We start from the raw sequence: 25,965 nt of genomic DNA on the forward strand, positions 1-25,965 counted from the left end.
TTGAGCGGTTGAAATTATTTTCTCTAAAGCAGACACACTCTTGGATAACTACTGAGTTCCTGTTATAGCTCAGCAAGAAAAAATGCTTATGATCCCAGTACTCCAGACAAAGGTCCAAAGTGCTTCTGTTCTTTTGACTCTCCTTAAAGAGTTTTTACCACCAACATAGTAATCTATTCGGCTTTCTTTGCTTAGTTCCAGTTATTTGTAGCTTATTTTCCTGTAAATACTTTGCCTTTTTCTCCTCTCTTTGATTTGTTTGTTTTAGTATGATTTGGAGAGGGAGGTTGGAGAATAACTTTTTCTCAAACTTCCAAGTCACTTTGAGTGTAGAATAACTGATACATTAATAAGAAAAAAATCCAATTAAGTTTAATGCCTTTTTTGTTTGTTTGTTTGTTTGTTTTAAGAGACAAGGTCTCTGTTGCCCAGGATGGAGTGCAGTGGTACAATTATAGTTCACTTCAGCCTCCAACTCCTGAGCTCAAACAGTTCTCCTGTGTCAGTCTCCAGAGTATCTGGGACTACAGGAGAGTGCCACCACATCCAGCTAATTTTTATTTATTTTTTGTAGAGATGGGGTCTCACTTTGTTGCCCAGGCTTGTCTTGAACTCCTGGACTCAATAATGCTTATTTTAAAAATACTTTTGTGGCCAGGCGCGGTGACTCACGCCTGTAATCCCAGCACGTTGGGAGGCCGAGGCGGGTGGATCACGAGGTCAGGAGATTGAGACCATCCTGGCTAACACGGTGAAACCCCGTCTCTACTAAAAATACAAAAAAATTAGCCGGGCGTGGTGGTGGGCACCTGTAGTCCCAGCTACTCAGGAGGCTGAGGCGGGAGAATGGCGTGAACCTGGGAGACGGAGCTTGCAGTGAGCCGAGATCGCGCCACTGCACTCCAGCCTGGGTGACAGAGTGAGACTCCATCTCAAAAAAAAAATGCTTTTGTATGATAGTCTATTTAGGGAGGGAGGGAGGAGGTTGATTAAATAATATAACAAAATTAATTCAAGAGCTAAGACAGAAACAAATACTCAGGAAAGCTCAAATAAAGTTAAGAAGAAGATGATTTTAAAAGGGCAGAAAAGAAACATTGAGAAGAAAGATTGGGAAATGATATTAATTTATTATTTCAATACACATTTAAATACCATCCTTACATGTAGCTGTCTCATCCACTAATATATAAGGAAAGAATTTCTTCCTGGGGCAGTTTTTCATTAAAAACAGGTTCTCTTTGAATCAGATGGCTGTGAATGTCAGTTTGCCATATTATCTCTACTTGTTTAATATTTTTCTTTTGCAAATGAGATGGATGCCTACTTTGGGAACATTTTTTATTTCTATTACATTTTCTGTTTTCAGTACCTGTCTCAAATTGTAAGTAAACACGTAAAGTGTCTTTTCATCAGTTTCAAATACATACATAATATTACAGAAGAATCTGAGCTATAGCCATATGACTGCCTGAGAGATGTCTCTTTCTCCTCTCTTTCCAAGTATTTTATATATTCTAGCAATAGTACCATATTTGGGTATGCACCCCTTACTGGTCCCTTATAAAAATTATTAACACTGTCATATATACGGCATGGATTATAAGGGTAGCCTTAAGTAATAGGGACTTATTGTAAGTTATGTGAGATTAAAGAAGCACAGGAAACTGGCTCAGAATCCAAATAATCCCTCTGTGCTTGTGCTTCATTGGGTGGAATGTATACTAGTCTTCATGGAGAATTGGAATAGTGGTTTATTGTCATTTCTGATTTGACAGCAGCTCCAGTGATTCCACTTTAGTCTTTTTTTTACACTTTACTGATTCATACTCCTCAAACACAAAGATCTGATTGGGTAGTTCTGGTCACCATCTCTTACGCAGAGAATTACTATGGCAGCTTTGGCTTATGATCCACAGTTATTCATTTGTGACAAGAGAAAAACCTGGGGCCACTCTTCTGAGAAAATGACTTTGGCAGGCACTGGGAGCTTCATAAACTACTATACCACACAGCCTGTTTTTTTTAATTATTATTCTTTTTTCCCCGTTCTTAGTAAGTGTGCATTAAATTCTTTCTTGTATTGGTTCCTAATTGTTTGATCTAAAAGGCCCATCTTCTCATCTATATGATAAGCCTTTTGAAGGCAGGAAATATCGTATGCTTTTGTGACTACCCCTGACACTCAGCAATGCCTACCACTGAGTGCTTACTGAACAGAATGGTTTTAGACATGAGCCATTGAGAGAAGTCACAGTGATGGAAGTTTGTTGTTTTTCATAATCATTTAAAAGGTTTTTTTTTTTACATTGTTTTGCTTAAAGAAATTGGAATCTATTTTACTGATCTAAGAAGTAATATAAGCTGTGCTGAATGCCAGTAGAAAGTTTAGTTAAAGATGATCTCTGTTTTGTCCATTTATGATTTGCACTAGCCAGATATCATCAGCTTATTCTTGTCTCTGAATCTAAGCTGTAGAGCTAAATAATTCACCTGAGTGTAGTGTTTAACAGCTTTCTATGTCAGTAAGTAGAACTTTGAGATACTTGCATCTTCATTTAAAATTATTTGTTGGCAGCATTTTGGAGTAGATTGTTGTTAGACCTCACTGATTTCTTTTTTGGAGAAGGGATGGGTTCTACTATTTGTACAGATTCAAGCAGTAGGAGCCAGAAACTTGAAACTTTGGAAACACTGTAGGAAATACTGTGATTATTGCAAAAAAAAAGGTTGACTAGTGGTGTTATTTGTTCAAAATGTTTGCCAGAGGTTTAGTCCCACGGATGGGCATAAAAACGAATTTCAAAAATAGCAATGATATTTTCTAACTTAATACCTAGATTAATACCTAACACATGAAGAATGGCATATTTTCTTAATGCCTGTTATTTATTTCTTAGAAATTTATGTTTAGTTTATATGCATATATAAAAATTCAACATATGTATATATATAAAAATTCAATTGTATGTATATATATAAAATCTTCAGAGGCAGGAGGAATTTCTTTAGTATCAAAGGAAATTCATTTATAAAGTCTACTTCAAAAGGGTACAGCTCCTTCTTTTGTTTCTGAGACCTCAAAACTTGAGTGTACACATAGATGTTGGAGTTTGGCCATTTTCTTATCTCCACTTTCATGGCCTTTGAGCCAAATTCTAGCTGGAAAAAAAAGTGAATAGATGAGTTTGGAAAGATACTTGCATTTTAGAAAAGGGTCTTATCTCAGAAGAGAGATGTTTTAAAAAACCTTCTTTTAGAAGGCTTTTTAAAATTAATTTTTAGCTTTAAAATATATTCTCATTCAGGTCTAAAGCACATTATAAAAAAATAGAGCAGAGTTGACTGAGTACCCTAGGTTAATAAACTTAACCTAGATTTATTTAATCATTATGCCAATAATGTTCTTTTTATATGTCCATTTTCTATTTCACTTTATTATATACAAATATTAACACTTCAATGTATACTACCTTTGTAGTTTACAAACCTCTTTCACATACATAATCTTAGCAATTCCTTACATATAATCACAAGTATTCTTAGTCCTATTTTATGGCTGAAAAAGCTGAAGCAAAGAGAGATTAAGTAGCTTATCTAAGGACACAAAAATGGTAAGCATTAGAACTAGGGCAATAATTGATAGATTCTAATTTAATACAGTGATTTTTTTTTCTTTACATTGTTGTGCTTTTTTCTTTATATCTGGCACTTTTAGATGTATTACAGCATATGTAAATAAATTAATCTAACCCTCCAAAATCAAGATATTTCATTGAAAAATCTGCTGGACAGTTTTGGCAGATTCATTACACAACTTCAAAAATTGTTTGTTTGTTAATTACCTGATTATGTTTGTTTGTTAATTACCTGTTAATTATAATTATAGATTAAGTACTTTAATAGATTATGCTTTCATAATGCTGGAGAATAACTTAATGGTTTGAAATATTATAGTATAGCTTCAGATTTCAAGTCAGGGAATAGAATAAATAGGCCTTGAAAGTTTCTGGTTTCTTTTTAAAACAGTGTCTGAAATTTCCAACATGGTGGAAAAGAAATGTCTTTGCTTTGTCTTAAAAAGGAAGTAGTTTAGCAAAAACAGAAGCTGTTTTAATTATTGGTATTCTAGAGCTTCTCATAGAAAAGAGTGGGGTTTTTGTGTGTGTAAATACATTTTATTATGGATTCTGTATATGGCGTGCTAGATCTTTGAGATCAGAAGCATTTGATCTCAAACTCCTTGTTAAATGTGAGTTACTGTTGTGTGGTTTTAGAGGATTCAACTATTTGTTCTTTGTCTCTATAACATTGCTAGCTAACATAAAAACATGTTTTTTACTTACACTTTTCAATCACAAAGTCTAAAATAACTTGCTTTATGTTTGAGAAAAGATTGTTCAGTAGTCTGTAAGTAGACTTGTATATAGCCACAAACAGAGAACTTATAACTCAAGAATAATACGAAGTCTTCAAAATTCTCAGAATGGTGGGCAGATCCATCTGAGTCATGATAATTTTTCAATGGTTCTTATTTGTTTGCTCTATTTGGTAGTCTTATTATTATGAAATGTGTTTTTCATATGCATTTGTTTAATCTCCCCTTTTCAGGTTGTATGCTTTCTCTGTGCAGGGATAAAGTCTATTCATTCTGTTTTGTCTTTTACAAGATCTATTGCAATGCATTGCAGGCTCGGCAGAGTAAGTCCTAAATAAATGTTGACTACTCAGACCACTAACTGTTTATTTGTGTTGTTTACCCTTATTTTTTATGTCCTACTCTTCAAAAGATTACTAGAGGTGGGGTTTGCAGAAACAAAGGAGGACATTTTTCTCAATGAATGTTTAAAATTACTTCGGTGACTTGGATAGCAATGAAATTTTTAAGAATATATAGTCAGCTTTGGTGTGGGTGGACTTTTTGCTGTGGAATAGAATAATTCCTGAAAGACTTCTAAAGTTACTTTGAAAAAAGGCAGGAATTAGGGTGGGAGGTGGGAGAGGAGCAGAAAAAATAACTATTGAGTAACCAGGCTTACTATCTGGGTGACCAAATAATCCATACAACAAACCCCCGTGACATGAGTTTACCTATAAAACAAACATGCACATGTACCCCTGAACTTAAAATAAAAGTTAAAAAAGAAGAAAGGTAGGATTTAATGATTGATAGCTTAAAGTTCTCATCAAATTTTTTGTAATGAGGGAAGAAAATATTTCCCCAAAGCAGAACTGCATTCCCAGAAAGAACATTTCTTCACATCATGAATATGTGAGGAAAAAATGTATTTTAAACAACTGATAGGTACAGACCCTAGGAACCTGCATTCTAGCCCCAATGTTGCCACTCAGTGACATCTGCTATGTGACTTTAGACAAATCACTTAGTCCCTCTCATCTTCAGTTTCCTTATATGTTAAGTGATAAAGTTAATGTAGATTTGCTTTTTTCCTTCTGGCTCCAGAAATCTATAGTTTTTATCTGTGTGTTTGTGTGTGTGTGTGCTTTCCTCTTAGAAAGCTGTAGTATTGCTTTAAACTCTTTGAAGTTACTAAGTGATTCAATCTAGTGGAGTCAGTGTATTTTAAGAGTTTTGAAAAACAGCCATAACAAAAACAACAAAATGTGAAGTTACAAGGTGGGGCTATAAATTAATGAGTTTGTTTTTTGAATAGCTGGCAGTTTTGTAATTTATTTAATAACACTTATACAGAACACAATACGATAATCTTTAATCTTTATAATTGAGATAGGTGCAGTTATCATCATTTTACAGATGAAGAACCTGAGGCAGTCGTGTCCATTGTGAACTCCAATAAGAAAGATTAAAAAGAAGGAAGAAAAAGTCCGCTGTAGAAATGAAAAAACAAATTTATCCATTGTGACATCGTTTAGAAATAGCAGTCAGAATTTAACCAAGAAAGTCTGGCTCTATGTTCTTGATCATTTCCCTCTATTGCCTGTTTAAGATATCCAAATATCATATCTTTGAAGGTAGTCAACTTGGAGTTTAATTCCGTTGATCTCTCTTTTCAAAACATATTTTGAGTTGTTTCGGGATCATTTTCCAGAGACTAAGACAAAGCCCTGTGGAAAACCAAGCCACATGTTACTCAAAGTAATAGTGTAGGAGGAACAAGAGCCAGCAGGGAAACACAGAGGAAATTATTAGAAATATAGGAGAATTGGAAGAGTACAGATGAAGGAAAATAAATCAACTTGTTTATGTTATTTTAAAACCTAGAGGTCAAGGAAGAGTTCAGAAAACGAGGCTGTCAGTGGTATCAGATGTTATAGCGCTCCCTAAGAATGAGAAATGAAAGAAACTCATTTGTCTTGTGTAAACATTAAAATCATTGGTAACTTGAGATTACATTTATTGTAGAGTAATCAGAACAGAATCCAGAAAAGAGATAGAAGAGAATGGGAAAGAAAAACAATGGTTTGGTAAATCTGACACTGGAAGGAAATGGAGATAGCCTAGATATAGATAAGGAGAAGAGAACTAAGAGTGTGTATGTATGTGTTTGTGTTAAGGACAGGAGAGATATAGGGATAGGGTATAAGGTAAATAAGGACTATTGTAGTTAGTTTATATACATATAAGAATAGAGTTTATGTTTTATGCTTGACAGATGTTCTAAAGGAAAATAAACAAGTCATTGTTCCTCCTCTGTATTGTTTTCTGTTTAAAGTAAAAGCATGGAGAAAGTTGAACAGTTTTTGTTTATTTGCAGTAGGACTACAGAAAAGAAAAATAAAAGAGCGTATGGAATTAAAACCAGATTTTTGAAAAATCAAATCATATTTAAAGTACTGCTTGAGATATCAAAAGTCTTTTAAATCTTAAATACAGAGCTGGTTTTTAATAATGGTAAAGAGTTTTCAAAATGTTAAAGTTTATAGAACTATTTCTCATTTAATTATATGTAAATGGTTTTATAATTTTTTCTCACATTAAGTTAGAAAACTAGCAAAGTAACCTACATAAAATTTGGTATAACCTTTCTTATGATGTCACAAAACTTAATTATGGAGGAAGCAATTATTATAATTAGGAAAAATTGATGACTTATGATCTGACTCAGGATCAAGGTCTGAAACACTCATGTCATTTCCTCCCCTCTCCTATATAGTATACAGTGATTTGTTCATTTTGGACTCTTAATATTTTAACTTTTGACACCATCAGCAAATCTAAACACTGACAGTTGGTGTTTTCCTGAAAAATGTTAAGGCTAATAATTGTGTGATATTTATTTCAACACATTGCTGCTAGTCTTCTATAAAGATCTCATTATGGGTAGGCTTTGAAGAGATATCCAGTTCATAATATGGGCATCACACTGGAAGCCTGCAAGATGGATGATTGGCTGAGAGTAGGAGTGTAGTTTCTAAATAATAATAAGTCTGTTTCCCCTGCTAGGAAGTACCCTGAGGGCAGGAACCCTCTATCTTAGTCATGACTTTGTTCCCAATACATGGTATATCAGGCATGTAGCAGGTATTCAATAAACATTGAATGAATAAATGAACAAATTAATTAGATACCAAATCCATCAGTTTGACACTATATTCTAAATTAGTTTATATAGTCACCGTAATGTGATAAAGAAATTGTGATAGTCTAGTTTACTGAGCATTGTTATCAGGACCATCTGTGTCTCATGTTTAAGTCTAGAAATCAGTCTTTGAAAATGAGTGAATTCAAATGCATTTTTAAAAGTCTAAGTGCCATTTTGCATGAGGGAAATTATATACCTAGTAAGAATTTCTCTGGGTTTCAAAGTCAGAACACTGATCTTGGTAATACATGGACAGAAAGGATTATTTTTCAGTTAGGGTGTTAAACAGATTGTGCTATCATTTTAACCTCTGGAATGAATAAGCCCCAGATTTAATAAGCTCCTTATGTATAAGATGCCTGTTATAATGTGTCTGTAATGTCCTAGAAAGATGAGACTACCCCTGCATAGTGCTTATTTCTTGCATGGAATGAATTTAAGATAAGCTTGTCAAATTTTAAATCTGACATAGACTATCTTTTGAATAATTTATTTGGAGTCATCTCTGTCTGATTATAATATGCCCTAAAATAAATCTTGAAAAATTAAAATATATCATACAGAATAAACAGTCTACATGTAACAGTTAACAGTTACATGTAAAGTGTTATTCAGATTACATTTTACAACTATTTCTTTTCTGATTCCATTTTTTATTGAATAGAAGTTCAATAAATTTTATTCTGTTAAGAATGAGTCTGTCTTGGAGAGGGTCAGTGTCACATATTTACTTTGAAGTTCCTTAAAGAGGTTAGTTGAATTCTCCCCCCAAAATGTGCTTTGAATTAGCAGCTTTTGAATATCTATTCTAGTAGAGGTAGGAGCAATATGAACTAGAGAGAATGATATGCAATAAAAATAATAATTTTTCTTTGACTTTGGAATGAGGATAATCTAAACCACAGCCATGTAGGCAGACATTTTCTGATGTATGTAGGTATGTTTGCATGTCTGTCTATCTATCCATCTCCTTGTTTTCTATATATTTGACCCTAACCTTTCAGGCTCCTATTTTGCCATCAGGTCCAAAACCAAACTGAGCGATAAGAGAGTGGAGATCCTTAAATCAGTGGTTCTCAAACTTTTTGGTTTCCACATTCCTTTATGTTTTCAAAGAAACATTAATGAGAAGAGTAGCATTTTGTTAACATTAAGAAAAACCTCTTTAATAACTGGCTTAATAGAAACCAGCTGGATTCTTATATCTGTTCTTTTTGGTCAAAATATATGAAGAAAATCCAGCCTCACACAGAGATGTAATTGGAAAGGAAGGACTATTTTAAAAGCCTTTCAGATAATTGTGGGTATTCTTTGATGCTACACCAAAATGCAACAAGAGGTAGTTTCTTAAAGGTTAGTTGCAACACGGAAGCCAAATCTGTGAACTTTTAGTACTCTGAAATTAAAATCCATTGGTTGATCTTGCACTTTGAATGGATCTTTTACCTGTGCAAGGTTTTGTTACATCATACATTGGTCATTTGAAAATACTGGTTCACTGAGTTATGCAGATCTTCCAAATGTTGACACATTTTATTATGTATTAAAATGTCACATTCTTTAATACTATCACAAATCTTATCAGAAAAGTCTTTAAATATTGTGAGCAGTTCATGGTAGCAGATAGAAGTTTTCCAAAATTCTAGTTTTCACTTGAGGGTTCAAATTTTATCATTGTCAAAAATATGTCAGTTTTCCTTGAAGTGGTAGATTCACTAATTTATTTTCAAGAACATATCTGTCAGATACCCAAGGCTAAACAACTATAATTTATCAGTCTTTCAAGTAAAAGTGGTGTTCCATGAAGAAAGTAGCTAGTGCAGCTCACAACTCAGTTACACAAGTGGTTTTCCTCTAGACAACAATTGTACTTTGATATGCAGCAGAAATGCTTTATGTGTATTTCCCATTTTGTCGTACAGAATATTAAAAAGACTTCTACTCAAGGGTCAAGATTTCATAAAATTAATAACTTTTATTGCTTCATCAAAGACTTCCTTCAATTACATTGACTGTGTGTGGTATGTGCATGTATATGAACATAGGGCAGTAATATGATGAACTATATAATACAGTTTGATGTTGCTGTCTTAATTCATGCTAGGGCACCATCATTGCTTTTGCATCATCAGTGTAAATATCAACACAGTTGTTTCAAGATAAATGATGAGATTTAAGAAAGTTATTCAACACTGAATATTTCAGTACTGTTAGTGTTTGTTGCCAAGCATTCCTATAAAAGGTCTTTGTTGTTGATTACTTGGGGCTCATACTGAATAAATCTAAGCAAAACATAAAGTTTATAGATTCTTCCATTTGTAAAACAAAAGCACAATTCTGTAGTTGAGATATTAACTCAGCCTTCGTATTTGCAACTAAGTGTAATTTGATGAATTAACATATGGTTGGAAAGTGTCATGATTTCTTATACTGACTTTTCAGCAGGCATTGAGCAAGGTCGATTATCCACAATTTTATTAGTCTCTCAGCTATTATATGCACTTTTTCAGTCATTGCATTATATTAATAACTTACAATGTAGGATACTTCCGTGGTCTTTTCATTTCCAGTATGATAAGCTGTAATAGAATTTTTTTTTAGAGGATTCTTCACACCTGTGTTTAAAATATCCAGTTCCATTTTCTTTGAACTCTACATGATTGGTTTCAGAATGACATCACAACTTAATTGGCACCATTATAGTATTTGAAAGATTTTGTTGCATAAGCGACAAGAAGATAGATTATTCATATGTCTGAAACAAGAGAAAGATGGCTTTCAATGTATGGTCATTTTTTATTAACAATTTTGACCAGTTTCTTTGCTAGATTCCACCTTTCCGTGAGTCATAAAATTCTCAAATATATCAGTTTTATCTTTTCTGTATCTTATATGTAGACAGTATAGTTGTGGGTTAAGGAGGCAAGTTTTCTAATCTCCTGTCTTTTAAGCCAGCAATTCATTCTTAAATATAAGAAAAGTATGTAATAGATTTTTATATGAAATATTAAAATTTAAGAAGCTGTAGATAGATTTAGAAAACTTTTCCAAAAAGATTTAAAAATAATATTATAAAACAAAACAAAGTATACATTCTTCTTTGTTGTATTTAGATAGAAGTTTCAGTAGTGGAGTCCATATAACTAAGCTCCATAATAATGTGTTTCATAACTTTCTCCATTATTCTACTACTAGATCATAGAAGGCTTGTTTCTCTTAAGGTTTAGTTTTTTCATGCACTCAGAAAATAGTTTTTCAGGAAGTATGTACTGAGTATTCTGAGGATATGCAAGGAGCATGGGTTCCAGTGATAAATAATACATAGTCTCTGTGCTCAGGGAACTTATAGTTTAGTTGGTGCTAACCAGATAAATTAGCAAAATAATTGACAGATATAGTAAGCATGATGAAAACACACAATGGACTCAGAGAATAACAAGGATGCTCTCCTGAGACAGCGACATTTAGCTGATATCTCAAACATGGGGGGAATTCAAGGATTCCAGGCAGAGGAAAGAGCATATGAAGGCAGTTAAGTAAGGCAGGAAAGAGCTTTATTTGAGGCACTGAAAGAAAACCAATGTGACAGGAGACTAGTGAATGGGAAGGGGGATGAGTAATGAAAATGAGGTTTGGGAGATTGGAAGGGGCTAGTTCTACAAAGCCTTATGAGCTATAGTAAGTAGTTTGGGTTTTATTCTGAGGGCCAGCAAAGGGATTTAAGCAGCAGAATAACACGAATGATTTAGTTCGTAGAAGATGTTCACTGCTACATGGACAATGCATTAGAGAGAGACCTATTAACAGTAGGAGCAGAGAGAGCAGAGATACCAATTAGAAGGCTTTTTCAGTAGCTCCGGCAAAATGATGATGGCAGCAAAGTGATGAATGGATTCTAAATACATTTTGTGGATAGATTTAGTGAGAATTGGAGAGATATTAGATGTGTTCAGATTTCTGTCTTGAATTACTAGGTAGAAAGGACTATCATTTTTTACTAAGATGAAAATATTTGGGGGGCACGGTAATATGTTTGGTATAAATGTGGAGAGTTATTTTTGGATACATTTAAATTTGAAATGTCTGTGAGACATTCAAGGGAATGTGTGCAATTGGCTCTGTGAATCTGGGACTCAAGAGAGGATAGATCTGAGCTAAGAAGAGTAATTAAGAATTGTCAGCTCATACACATTTATTTATTTATTTGGAGACGAGTCTTATTCCATCTCCCAGGCTGGAGTGCAATGGTGTGATCTCAGCCCCCTGCAACCTCTGCCTCCTGGGTTCAGATGATCCTCCTGCCTCAGCCTCCTGAGAAGCTGGGATTACAAGTGTTTGCCACCACACCTGACTAATTTTTGTATGTTTTAGTAGAGATAGGGTTTCACCATGTTGGCCAAGCTGGTCTTGAACTCCCAACCTCAAGTGATCCACCCACCTCAGCCTCCCAAAGTGTTGTGATTATAGGCATGAGCCATCACACCCGGTCAGCTTACACACATTATCTCATGGATTTACATGGGAATAATGGAGTCATCAAGAAGAGAGTATATAGAGAGAGGAGGGTTCAGGACCAAATTAGATTTTGAATTGGAGAAGGATGAGAGCAGCAAAGGACGGTTCAGGACCAAATTAGATTTTGAATTGGAGAAGGATGAGAGCAGCAAAGGAGGAGGGTTCAGGACCAAATTAGATTTTGAATTGGAGAAGGATGAGAGCAGCAAAGGAGACTAAATAGGAGCGGTCAGCAAATAGGGAGAAAACCAAGAGAAGAGACTTTTGAATGGGGAAGGAGTGGTTTATTCTTGAATACTGTTGAGACGTTAGATAAGATGAAGGATTGGTTTTCACTGGATATGTCAACATGAAAGTCACTGATACACTTGACAAGAGCCTTTTAGTGATGACATGAAACATAAAAGTTAAAGATGGATTAAGTAGTAAGGAAGTGAGAACAGCATAACTATTTAAAAATGTTTGCCTATAAAAGAAAATAGAGAAAAGGTAGGGTTTTGTCTTATTTTCAAACTCTAGATATCAATTATATATTTTAAAGGAATGAACCCATAGATAGGAAGAAAGCAATGTTAAAAGAGAAGTCGAGTCCTTGAGAAGGGGCAAAAGGGTGGAATTCAGATAACAGGTGGAAGGATGGCCCTTTGCTAGTAAGGCAGGACATTATGGTAGAGGCAAGATGAGTTCATAGATAGGACCTTAGGTTCCAGGAAGATAAAGAGAAGACACTTCTAACAGTTTCTGTTTTCCCAGTGAAGGACATCTCAACTGATGTCATCAGCTGAAAGTAAGGATATTAGAGGAGGTGTAGAAGATTTAAGCAGAGAGGCACAAGTATGAAGTAGTTGTCTTGGCCAGTGGGATAGTGAGCCTACTAGAGACATTTGGATTGTGAGGCCTTGGTGGGGTGTCAGTATGCCGTATGCTTTAAAGTCAAATCTCTGCAACAGAATGCCAGGTGTAGAGTTACAGTTGATTAATAAGACACAGCCCCTGTACTCAAGGAGTTTGTAATCTAGAGAATGAAAGACATATAATTACAATATGGTGTGATGGTTGTGATGAACAAGGTAAATATAGGGTGTCATAAGAGCACACATTAACCAATCTTGGAGGGGCTGTCCTATGCAAGGAGGTCTTCATGGAGACCTAACAGCTAAGCTAAGACCTGCCTGTTCTGCAAGTACCTTACTTAAAGCTATTACATAATAGCTGCTGGGGATGAAAATATTCTAGAAGGTATGATAGTCACACTGTATTATTATATCTTTATGCAGTAGCTTTTATTTCTGCTGACATCATCAGGCATCTTTGAAATTTCTTTTTTTTTTAACACTTCGAAATGCTGTGAAGCAAAGTATCATCCCTCTCTTTCCTCACCCTCTTCTCTTCCTTAACACCTTTCTTCAGTTCTAGCTGTTGGCAGCTAGATGCAACTTAATAATGCCATTTTGTTTTCATTTGGCATGTCATTCATCATTTTCAAAATAAATAAACTTTAATTTTGTGCTGCCACAATCAGGAATATTTGAACATTTAGTGCTTATCTTGGGTATCTGCCCTTATTACTTTCTGAGGAGCTGCCCTTTATAGCAATCAGGGAACTATACCACTTGGAAGACTAATTGTCTTTATACAAAAATAAAATCCTTGTGTTCAGATTTCTGTCTTGAGTGGCTGGTTTGAATCTAATTTTCTGTTATATGAAGCAAAGATTTATTATTTAACATAGTTTCAAAATTAAAATTGATAGTGAAATTTTATGTGCCATGCAATGTCATGTGTGTTCTTTTAAGGTGAAGATTCATTTTTTAATAGCTTTATTGAGGTATAATTGACATATAATAAACTGCACATATTTAACACCACATTTTATGTGTGATATGTATGTGTGTGTGTGTGTGTGTGTGTATATATGTATATACTTATATAGGTGAAATCATCACCATAGTCAAAATAATCAGCATCCCCATCAGTCCCAAAAGTTTTGTTTCTCATGCCCCTTTGTAATTTTTCCCTGCCCTCTCACCAGTCAACTGATCTTTCTGTTACTACAAATTAGTTTATAGTTTTAAAAATTGTATATAAAGGGATCTTAATTATATATATTTTCCTTCCAGCAGAATTATTTTGAGATTAATCCATGGTGTTGCTTGTATCAGTAGTTCGTCTTTACTGCTAATATTCTGGTGTAGGGATATAGCACAATTTACTAATATATTCACCTTCTACTGTTAGCTACTACAAACAAAGCAACTGTGACTATTTGTGTACAAGTCTTTGTAGGGACAAATGCACTCACTTCCCTTGTGTAAATACCTAGGAGTGGGATGGCTGGGTTATATAGTAGGCATATGTTTAGCTTTTTAAGAAACTACCAAACTACTTTGGTACAAGTGGTTGTACCATTTTACATTCCCACCAGTGGGAATAAGAGTTGCAGTGCCTCCATATCCTTGGCAACACTTGATACAGCCTATCTTTTTATTTTTAGCCATTCTAATAGAGGTATGTAGTGGTATCTCATTGTGGTTTTAATTTGCATTTCCCTAATAACTATATTAATTTTGACCAACTTTTTATGTGCTTATTTGCCATCCATAAATCTTCTTTGGTGAAGGGTCTGTTCAAATCTTTCCCGATTTTTTATTGAGTTATTTTCTAATGATTGAGATTTCATTTTGAGGATTTTGTGTGTGTGTTGTTTTGTTTAGCAGCTTAGAACACACACATTTATTATCTCACAGTTACTATGGGTCAGGAGTCCAGGCATAGATTTGCTGGGTCTTCTACTCCAGGGTTTCATCTGAAAGTAACAATCACAGTCTTGGCCAGGGCTGCAGTTGCATCTCAAGGTTTTACTGGGGAAGGTTCCACTCATAAGTTCACATGATTGTTGGTAGAATTCAGCTCCTCGTGGGATGCCGAACTAAGGGTCTCAGTTATTTGCTCAGTTGGAGATTCCCCTCAGTTCCTGCCACATGGGCCTCTTGATATGGCAGCTCACAACATGACAACTTGCTTCATGAAAGCCAGCATGGAAGTGTTTATGTTTACTGGTTTATTATGATTAACAAAGGATACAGATGAATAGCCCGATGGAAGAGATGCATAGGGCAAGCTATGTGGAAGGGGTATGGAGCTTCCATACCCTCTCCAAGTAGGCTACCTTCCAGGCACCTCCTCATGTTCAGCAATCTGGAAGCTTTGCGAGTTCTTTATGTATTCTATATACAAGTCCTTTATCAAATACATGACTTGTAAATATTTTCTCCCAGTTTTTTGCTTGTATTTAAATTTCCTTTTTAGTGTTTTTCAAAGGGCAGAAATTCTTAATTTTGATGAAGTCCAATATGTCAGCTTTTTATTTTATGGACTGTGTTTTTATGGTTTTAAGAAATATTTGCCTAACTAAAGGTCACAAATATTTTCTCATATTTTTTTTCTTAAAGTCTTACAATTTTAGGTTTTACATTTAGGTGTATGATCCATTTTGAATTAATTTCTGTATATGTGCAAGGTGTATATCAAAGTTCATTTTGTGTGTGTGGATATCCAGTATTGTATGATATTCAATGCTGTGTTTTCACCTAATAGCTTTTAAAGGAAGAATTAAAGCAAAGCCAAGTTAAATAGGTTATACCAGACTGTTAGTTTTCTTTGTGTTATCCTTGACTTTGTTAGGTTGCACATTTTGCTGGAACTTCTTAAAACAGTATCCTATGATTGAACTTCTTCAACCTCAAATTTCCAGTCTTTATACTTAACCAATGAAATGTTATTTATATACTCTTTGGAAACATAACATATACTGTAGATAATTATAACAAAAGTGTAATGGGTAGCAGAAGATATTGCCAAACCAAAATTCTGGAGACCAGATGAGACAAACACATAATATGTGCCTGTATGGGTCACAGTGCTAGGAAATACACTGAAAAGTGAACAAAGAACTAAAAATAAGCCTCTTATAAGAAAAGCTGCTACTTCTGGGCTAATCTATTAGTAGTTTGTTTTCCTTAATTTGAAAAAGAGCTTCAGAATCAGACTCTAGAGTGAATCTTTTAAAACTATATATATTATGCATGTATACACATATACATACTCTATGCATTGGCTTAGATAATATAAAAACAGCACAGGAATAGTTTATGCTGTAGTATTGTGCAGTCTTATTCAGAAATAAGAAAAATAGTTTTTCCATTTAGCTGTGAGTCATTACTTTTTAGTTTCGTGGAGAAATTAAGTTTTAGTGGGGGTCGATACAGCTTTTTTTTTTTTGTAGAAAATCAGGTAGCATGGGCTTTGGAGTCAGACAAATCTCGGTTTTAATTTTCAGTGTCCTTATCTCTAATATAGTAATATTAATAGTTACCTCTTCCTGGGTTGTTGAGAGGTTTAAATGAAATAATAAGTTAAGTACTGGCACAGTGCTTAACACATAATAGGTATTCAAGATATGTATACTTCTTTATCATCAGGGGATTGACCTTGGAAGCATATGGGTACATAGAAAGAACCCATAAAAGGATATGACAAGGGGAGAGGAGTTTGTTTTCATTAGATTTAGCAAATTCATTCTTTCCCCCAACTCCCCAGAAAAATTCATTTTAATGCTATTATTTTCCTTATCACCCATAAACAGACAGAAAATTGGCATGTTTCGAAAGAGTGTTAAAACTGCAAGAGTATTACATGGTATCATTACACTACCATCCATTATCTAACTGGGTTTATTTATGAAGGTTAGATTTAGATAATTTAGACTTACCCTTTTTCCATTTTGTGGGGAAAGAGAATCAGAAACTTGAAAGGAAGAGCTCTTCCAAACAGAAAGATAGCTAGAATCTCTCTCAATAGTCTATATAATCTCTTCTAATAATCTTTAGCAAAAGTGACTTTTGAGTTCTTTTAAATATTTCCTGTATTGATTCTAATTCAGTGCTCATTTCATGTGATGTCTATAGAACTACAGACTTAGATTACAGTCAGAAAACTGAGTAACAGCAGACACCAGGTTTTCAGCTGTTTTTAGGGTTTATTCAGATTGACTACATCACATTCATTTGGATGGATTTAGTGACATCAATTGATAATTGTAAAGAAACTAGCCTTTAATCTGACATTTTCATATTGATATTAGATAGGAGCCACATGACTATGTCATGGGTTCATTCACAAGATATAATAAACATTATTTTCACTTGTAGCATAAAAGCAGTCTTTAGTGTTATCTTAGAAGCATTAAAACACACACATATATAAAATCATATAGATTAAAAAATTCTATCAGCATAGGTTCTGTAATTGTTAATAGATGTAATTGCATAAGGTCGCTATGCATTATTTCTCATTTTCAGATGAAGCCTGTCACCTTGACATTTTTATATATAATAGGAATCCACAGGTTGTTAAAAACATAAGGAAATTAAGATAATTTGAATTCAGATTATAAAATAGTTCAGGTCTATTCTGATGAAGCAATGTCACTTAGGTCTGAGGCTTTTGGGTCAGCTTTTAAAAGTTTATCTTATTTTTCATTAAAATATGTATGTATAATACTCTATCATGCAAAGAGAAATGGTCAACAGAATTTCTGTGCATATATGGTTGCTGGTTATTTGAAAGCCATTCTCCTCCTAGGATTATTTGACCAATTTTGTATTCAGCTTAGATTAGGGAGAATATAGTGTCTCCTTAGGTAAAATACTTACTAGAACCAAAAAGTCCAGATTAAATTGTTTTTATTTTTATTTTACTGCAGTTTTGTGCAGTTGACCTGATTTTAAAATATAAAACTAGGAAGGCATATTTTTCATCTACCAAAATGTGAATCTTACTTTCATTTTGAAACAAACACCTCTGCTTTAAGAAGATGAACGGTAGTGATAAATACAAAAACGTTAAAATTTTTTAAATGAATAGCGTTTGTTGATCTTTAAAGAAAACATAAATGTGAAATAACTTTAGAGCTTAAAAGTTTTCTTCCTCAAACCTTTTAGGAATTGATTTTATTATCCAAAACAACTTTATTCATACTAAGTGTGACTATCTGAATAATTACCTTACTTTTATAGTTTTTTTTTTAAAAAAGCTCTTCTAACTGTAATTATCCTCAAAGAATTGGATTAAGAAATTCAATAATTTTCTGTCATTAGTCCAGCGAGATATTTACTGAATAGCCATTACGTTCCTGGCTGTTAACACTACAAGGACTCCAGCAATGAGCAAAGCAAACAAGCCCTTGCTTTTCCAGAGCCCACATTCTAGAGTCAGATGCTAAACAAATACACAGATACATATATAATAAAATATTGGTTTAAGTGTTGAAAAGCAAAATCAGAGTAAGAAGGCAGGTAGTCATTTTAAATTAACATTGAGAAATGTTTCCATTTTAAGCATATAAATTCTTTGGCTTCTCTTTTTAAATTTGCTTTTGACTGTTTGTTGCTGGCGAAAATTATTTAAAGTAATTAGGAACTCATCGTAAATATTTTGTACACTACTCTAAAAATCTAATTCCAACTAGTGAATTTAGCATTTATAAATGGAGGTGTCTATAGAGGAATAAAATCTTTGGTTAACCACTACTTTACTTTTAGCAGTAAAGTCTGCAGCTCATGAAATTTGTAATTCTGGAGTGGTTTCAGTTTGCACCATCCCCTGGGGAGCCTGTTGATACAGCACTGAGCTACAGATTATTATTCAGCTGTAGAAGTTTTATGCTTAGGCATTTTCTTACATCTTCTTCTCTCAGTCAGTTGAAATCTTGTATTTTTGCCAAATAAAACAAATCCTATATTAATAAGAAGCTATAAATAAACAGTAGGAGCATGAGTCAGAGCCAGCATCACCCCATTCCTTGTGTGTACCTCTCTAGTACTCCCCAGTATGTTCCTTTTGCACAAACATGTAGTACTGCGTAACTACTGTTCTACAGATGAACTCCAGTTATTTAAGTGAGGCCTGTTTTTTAGAACTAAGTAATACTGTAACTAGTAGAATTCTGGCATGTTACCACAGTCAAAAGCAGAATGTGAAGCTGTATGCTATTGATGGGAGGAAAAAAGAAATATATTTCCTACCTTTCCTGTATAAAGCCCAGAAGATTCCTGTTAGATTTCCAAAATGGGTTTTTATATAATATAATATAATTCAACATTTTTTTCAGAGGAAAAAAGAAAAAGATAAGTTGCTTGAAAGTCCCATCTCTTTTGCTAGTCGGCTTCTGTCTGATAAAATTTTATTCTGTTTTGCTTCATTGTTTATTCATTCAGTAGATGTTCATTGAACACTTACTGTTACCAGGCACTGTGCTACCATAGACGGTATAAAGACAAATAAGCTAAAATCCTTGTTCTCAAGGAATTTATTATTGTAGAGAAAAGTGACTTGTAAATCCAAAATTTCATACTGGGATAGGAACTATAAAAGAGACATCCTGCAGAATACTGAGATTATAAATAAAACTAGTATGTTTGAAGCATTTAGTGTCCTAGCTGTTTTATAGAAGTCATTTCATTTAATCCTTTCAACAGCTTTATGAGGTAGATATCATTACACTATTTTACTTGTGCCAAGAGCACTACATTCATCAAGGAAGGAGGAGGTAGTATCAAATTTTTCAGAAAACAAGAGAGTTGGTTATAGAAGGATGAGTAGGGTAGAGAGTAGGAGGAAGATGAGGCAGTGTGGCATTTCAGACAGAGAGGTGAATATGTAAGCACACAGGATGAGTGAGAGAATTGTTGGAATGTAGTCAGTTCTAGGAAATAAAAGATGGCAGGGTCCAGATCATGAAGTTTGGTTCTTAACCTGTAGAAGACAGAAATATGATCAGACTTGCATTTCAGGAAGATAACTCTGTAATTGTTTGCAATTCCTGTTAAACGAAGAAATTTTCTCCAGCATTGACTTATGTTTATTAAATACATATAAAAACTAAATTCTAGAAACATCTTATACAGTTATACATCACTTAGCAATGGGATACATTCTAGGAAATGCATTGTCAGGCAATTTCTTCATTGTACAAACGTCATAGAGTATACTTACACAAACCTAGATGTATATCTTTGTTTATATTTATTTTTTCATATGGAAAACCAAATTTCTTAGCCATGTTACTGAATGTCAGTCATTTCCCTTACTTGATCTGCATCACCAACATTAAGTGCCATGTATCAGATTTCTGTATATGTTCCATTATAATCTCATGGGACCACCATAGTACATGCGGTCCATTGTTGACAGACACATCATTATGTGGTGCGTAAGTGTACTTATAGTTTTACAACTACAAAGTGAAGCACAGAGAGGTTACATAACTTAGCCAGTGTCACACAGCTAATAAGTAGCAAAGTCAGGATTCGACATGTTAAGCCAACTTCATGGACTTAACCACAGTCCTGTATTGCCACTCCTCTTCATTTAAAGGCATGCATGCACATATTAGATTTGGAGACAGTTCTAGAGACACTGAATTGGCAACTACAGTCGACAAAGAGACATTGCAGCAAGTACCTCTACGTTGTTTGTTTCTGTACCCTTAACTTGCAGTGGTCTACAAGAAAGAATGAAGGAAGGGAAGTGATATATTTGTCAACCCTAACTACATTGTAAAATGAAGCTTTTTTTTTTTCTTTTTTTGAGAGGGAGTCTCGCTTTGTCACCCATACTGGAGTGCAGTGGTGCGATCTCAGCTCACTGCAACCTCCACCTCCCGGGTTCAATCTGTTCTCCTGCCTAAGCCTCCCGAGTGGCTGGAATTACAGGCATATGCCACCACACCTGGCTAATTTTTGTGCTTTTTTTTTTTTAGTAGAGACGGGGTTTCACCATGTTGGCCAGTCTGGTCTCGAGCTCCTGACCTCAACTGATCCGCCTGCCTTGGCCTCCTAAAGTGCTGGGATTACAGGCTTGAGCCACTGCACTCGGCCTGAAGCATTTTATGATGCTCACTACCAAGTGTTCATAAGCGGTAAATAAAGCCCTTGGGCTAGGTAATGTAAGATCCATTGCAACCTGGAGATGAAGAACTTTGTAAAGGGGATAATTGTTATCACCCATCAGAGCATCAGAGTTTTAAGATGATCTAGATTTAGTCCCACTAATTATATTTCTCCTAACTTTTATAGACAGAGAAATCAGTGAAAAATATGTATTTCTAAGGATTAAATCCCAATCCATAGCTCAAGGCTACCTTTATGTCTAATAGTTGTGATATAATATGTTGCTTAGAATAGGTTCTATAAATGGAATTCACACATAGGACCCCAGAATCGCTTCTTCACAGGGTTTCAGAGTTGGAGGACATATAAAAGGATAAATCAATCCATAAATCTCTAAGTATTCCTAAAAGAAGAGTGGTGTGTCAGTTATTGGCACCAGTACATCATGAATCCTGCTGGGCTGTGGAGAAAGGAGAAACTAACCTGAACAAGACTATACTCTACACAGCTGTCCCTGACATTCTACCACCTGTTAGCATTCAGTATTAATTTCATGGATCAAATCAAGGCATGCAAGTGCATTAAATAACTTTTTAAAAAACAACTGCTGATTGCTGACGTCTATGAGGGAAGAAAAATTAGGGGCTGTTATTTTCCTATCAACCATCACTCTCATTAACAAGAACAGGAAACATTACGAATAAATAAAACTCTTACATCATACCAGAAAAAAGAACAGCTGAATCCCCTAAAGGATTTCATATTCTATCATCAGACAACGAAAGAAAATAATTCCATATAAATGGCTGCATGAATCATTGAAAGAAACTTCCCTGCTTTTTTAAAAGAGCAACTAGAAGTATTTACTTTTTGAAAATAGAGTAACCATTTGTTAAACCGTATATACCATTGAAGATGTTTTGGGTATAAAAGGGAATTTCCATAATAATTACATAGTAATCTTTTATAGCCAAAGTTATGAAGAAGATCAGGATTTGGGAAAATTGTGGTCAATATTTGATTTTCCTTTTCTGTTTGATAGCCTTATCTAAATTCCCCTAGCTTGAATGTAGTAAATATGAGTGTGTAAAAATGTGTATCTAATTCACCTCTTGGGGGAGGTTTAATGTAACTATAAATAAAAATTCTTTCCCCAGGTTAAAAAAAAAGTTACATAGTGTTTAATTCTACCTTTTCTCATTTCTCTATATCCAAAACTATCACCAAGTACTGTTAATTTTACTTTATAAAGCTCTCTTGATATGTCTCTTCAACCTCATCACCACTGCTTTAAATGAGGCATACTTCCTCATTTGGATTATGGCAGCAGTCTCTCTTCCTTTAGTCTCTCCTTCAAATCCACCTCCATCCTTCATATCATCCATCATGTATTTTTCCCTGCCTAAATTCCTTGGTTGGCTTCTATTAAATCCAAGTTCCTTAAGCATGGCAAACAGGGGCCAGCTTCCACGAGCTGGTCCATACCTCTCCTGCCTTATTTCCTGACACTTTCCCTTATACCTTGAGATCCAGCTTGCCAGTATTTCCCCAATACCTCCACCGCATATACAACCACATACATATACACCCTTATCCCCTCCCTCATGTACCACCCATATATAATTCTCTTTACCGCATCCTTTATCACACTCCTACAAGCCTTGAAGCAATCTGAACATAGAAACCATCTTTGATTTTCAACTCCTAATTGGGACTGAACATACTTGTCTTGAACACAGATTGCTGCCTTGTTAGTATAGGTATCCTAATATGGCACATGTGTATAGTTGAAGCTATAATGCATTCCCCAAGTTCCCTTTCAGGACTAAAGGGTTATTTCCCAACAGCTGGAAGTCCTGCTGCCAGACAGCCTTCTTCAGGAATTGCCTTGTCCCCAACTCAAGACAACCCTGAAGGACCTTTCCCAGTTTTCCATGGGGTCCACTGAGGCCTTGAGATTGTACTGAAGTCAACTTCTCCCTCTGCTGTCGCTTCCCTTCCACAGGTGTTTATCACAAGAACAATCCTTAATAAACTTCCTGTAAGCACACTCTCAGAGTCAGCTTGCTGGGGAACCCAAGCTATAACAACATGTTTATCTTGTTCACACTTTCTTCTGAGTTCTAAATCATGGGAAGTTACAGTTATCCAAAATCTTACTAATTGGAAGATCATTTCATCAGACGTGTATTGAGCACCTGCTTCATGTCAGGCATTGTGCCAGATACAATGGAAACAAATCAAGACTTGGCCTCTGTCCTTGAGTTTACAGTCTGAGGTGACAGTTACATATGAACCTAACTGTATTAAAGCATCTTGAGAATCTTTTTGATTCAAATGTCAATAATTTTAGTATAAAATTCAAAAGCATGGATTTTGTGGTGTTACAAAGAACAAAAGGAAAATATTTCAGGGGAAGGAAAATGAATATAAATAAGTAGAATGAAATTTTAGAAGAGCACAGAATTTGTCTTTATAATTCTGAAAGCCTTTAGGGAAAAGGTAATTTTTTCACTTTTTATTTTGACATAATTTCAAACTTACAGAAAAGTCACATGAATACTGAACTCCCATACACCCTTTATGCAGATATATCAGTTTTTAACATTTTCCCTCATTCTGTTTCTTTACACACATACAAATTATTTTTGTGAACTCTCTGAGAACAGGTTAAATACTACATTATATCACTTCATACCTTAAAAATGTAGTATTTCCTAGAAACAAGGGTATTCACCTCCATAACCACAATGCAGTTGTCAAATTCAGGTAATTTGACCTTGATCTTTAATCTACAGTCCAGATTCAGATTTTGTTAATTGTCCCCAAAAAGATGAGTTTAGGAAGAGTCATATAACTTAACATTTGTAATGTAAATTAAAGATCTCGGAAGTTTGCTAACCTGATTTAAATACCACAGTGAAATGAACCACTTCTGATTTTCTACGGAGAAAGCAAGGGTTAGGTCCAGGTTACCTGTAAAGGTGTGACTTAGGGCTCCCCAGAAGTGAACCTTGCTCTGGAGACCCCATTTGGTGAGGTTCTTTTCAAAAGAGATTGTATATTTTTGACCCAGGGATTGTCGATTTGTTGAGCTCCCATGTAAGTATGCCGCCTTGCCATTGACAGGTCTTCACAATGCTTTCTTAAACGACATTCTTTGGAACTGTCTTTCATAGTCAGGCGACCCGCCAGCCAGGCCGCCAGGTAGGTGGAAGGGCGGCTTCGGGAACTAGATCCGGCTGGTTCTCTGCTAACATGTGGTCCTCGATGCTCTAGCGGATTGGCCCCAAACCTCAGCACACAGAGCTTTGGTAGGGCTGGGGATGCAGGTCAGCCTGCTGAAGGCGTCTAGAGGACTTGGGCGGGGGCGTGACTTCCTGCTGCACCACTTCCTTTCCAGCCACGTGGGCTTCTGGGACCCTATGACATAATTTCTGGAGTGGTCTGTTGGGAGTTGTGGCGGCGGCGAGGCCCAAGCACAGCTGGCCAAGGCGGGTGTAAAACGCGGGTCGTGTCCACCCCAAAGCTCGACGCCTCTAGAAGCCATGGCTTTTCTGCTGAAGCTAGAGCCGGACATGCAGGGGAAAGTAGATTTGTTTCGAGCCCGTATCGCCCAGGAGGCCGAGGATCTCGTGTCCACCTTCTTTCCTCAGAAGGTCTTGGAGCTGAATAGCCGAGTTCAGGAGCTCCGGCTGCAAGACCTGTCCAGAATCCATTCGGTGCCAACCTCGGAGCCCCTGGCCACCCCAGGCAACAAGGGAGATGGGCCCAACCAAAATCTGCCAGTTCTGCTGACTCAGTTCTCCATCAAGGTCCCAGCACTGCTTGGCAGCGAGGGACAGCTTCTGCGGAGCAACCAGCATCTGGTGGAGTTGACTGAGTGGGTGAAACCTGAGATCAAGCTGCTGAGAGAGAAATGCAACACAGTGCACATGTAGGTGCACCCGCTTATCCTGAAGGTGCAGGACGGCAACAACTTCAGGGTGTCTATCCAGGAAGACACTGTGGACCAGCTGTGGACCGTGGATAGCACAGCGGCCTCCTCTCTATGCGGCTTCTCCACCTACTACAACACCCAGGCCAAGTTGGTATCCAAGATAGTGAAGTACCCCCAAGTGGAAGATTATCGCTGCACTGTAGCAGAGGTCGACGAAAACGAGTACCTGAGTGTGCGCCAGATCCTGCTGCACCTACGGAACGAGTATGCCACCTTGCGTGATGTAATCCTTAAAAACATTGAGAAGATCAAGATCCCTCGGAGCACCAACCGTGATAACCTATACTGATAGCCTTTCTCCACCCCATTTGCCTTCAGGAGTTGGCGGAGCTGTTTAGGCACCTAGAAGGCTGGTTATTAATGACTCTACAGGTCATGAAATTACTGGAAATGTGTGTTACCATTTAGAATTTCATACAGCTTATCCTCATACTGAATCATCTTTTGGTGTAATTTTTATTTGATTTTCCTTTTGTGAGGAGAATGGGGACAAACCATCAAAAAGAAAAGACTGCCATTTTTAAAAGCAGCTTTATAGATAAATGTTGGCCCAAGGTTTCTTTATTATGGCCTTAGCGACATTGAATGGTTTTAGGGGCTACTTAAAAACTAAATCTTAAAGTTAAATGAAGTTTTTCCTAAAGTTCTGCTATCCGTTGAACTTTGTTCAAACTTACAGAAATGCTCCTTTTACAGCATCATTTTTCTTTTTTTGCGAGGAACGGAGTTTAAAGGGATATGTTTAGGTCATTGTATGCCTCCAGTTTAACAGATTGAAATAAAACTTGGTTATAAAATTTTGTGATGGCCTGAGTGTGCTTATCTGAGCTTTAATTTTCGGATGTGGACAATTCAGATGATAATTTCCTACTTCAGGTGGACTCATACACTTGATATTTTTCAACTCTGATGGGTAAGAAAAGTAAGCAAAGAG

At 35.6% G+C, this 25,965-nt stretch overlaps 1 protein-coding gene and 1 pseudogene across 6 annotated transcripts in view; both read left to right on the forward strand.

The window, feature by feature from the left end:
* The window catches only part of ATF6 (activating transcription factor 6), a 197,751-nt gene that overhangs the window by 100,041 nt on the left and 71,745 nt on the right, over nucleotides 1-25,965 (forward strand). The window contains exon 15 of one of the 6 annotated variants that reach the window (XM_047449542.1): nucleotides 1-25,831. The exons of 4 other annotated variants lie outside the window; for them this stretch is intronic. In XM_047449542.1, the coding sequence (XP_047305498.1) occupies nucleotides 1-12 (12 nt within the window). In that variant the 3' untranslated portion in view covers nucleotides 13-25,831. Of the gene's footprint in view, nucleotides 25,832-25,965 lie in introns of those variants that run through there. One more of the 6 variants, XM_011509310.3, reaches the window with a different exon arrangement.
* LOC100422526 (proteasome activator subunit 3 pseudogene) lies at nucleotides 24,580-25,317 on the forward strand (annotated as a pseudogene).

The sequence above is a fragment of the Homo sapiens genome, chromosome 1 (assembly GCF_000001405.40).
Source record: "Homo sapiens chromosome 1, GRCh38.p14 Primary Assembly".
Lineage (NCBI taxonomy): Eukaryota > Metazoa > Chordata > Mammalia > Primates > Hominidae > Homo > Homo sapiens.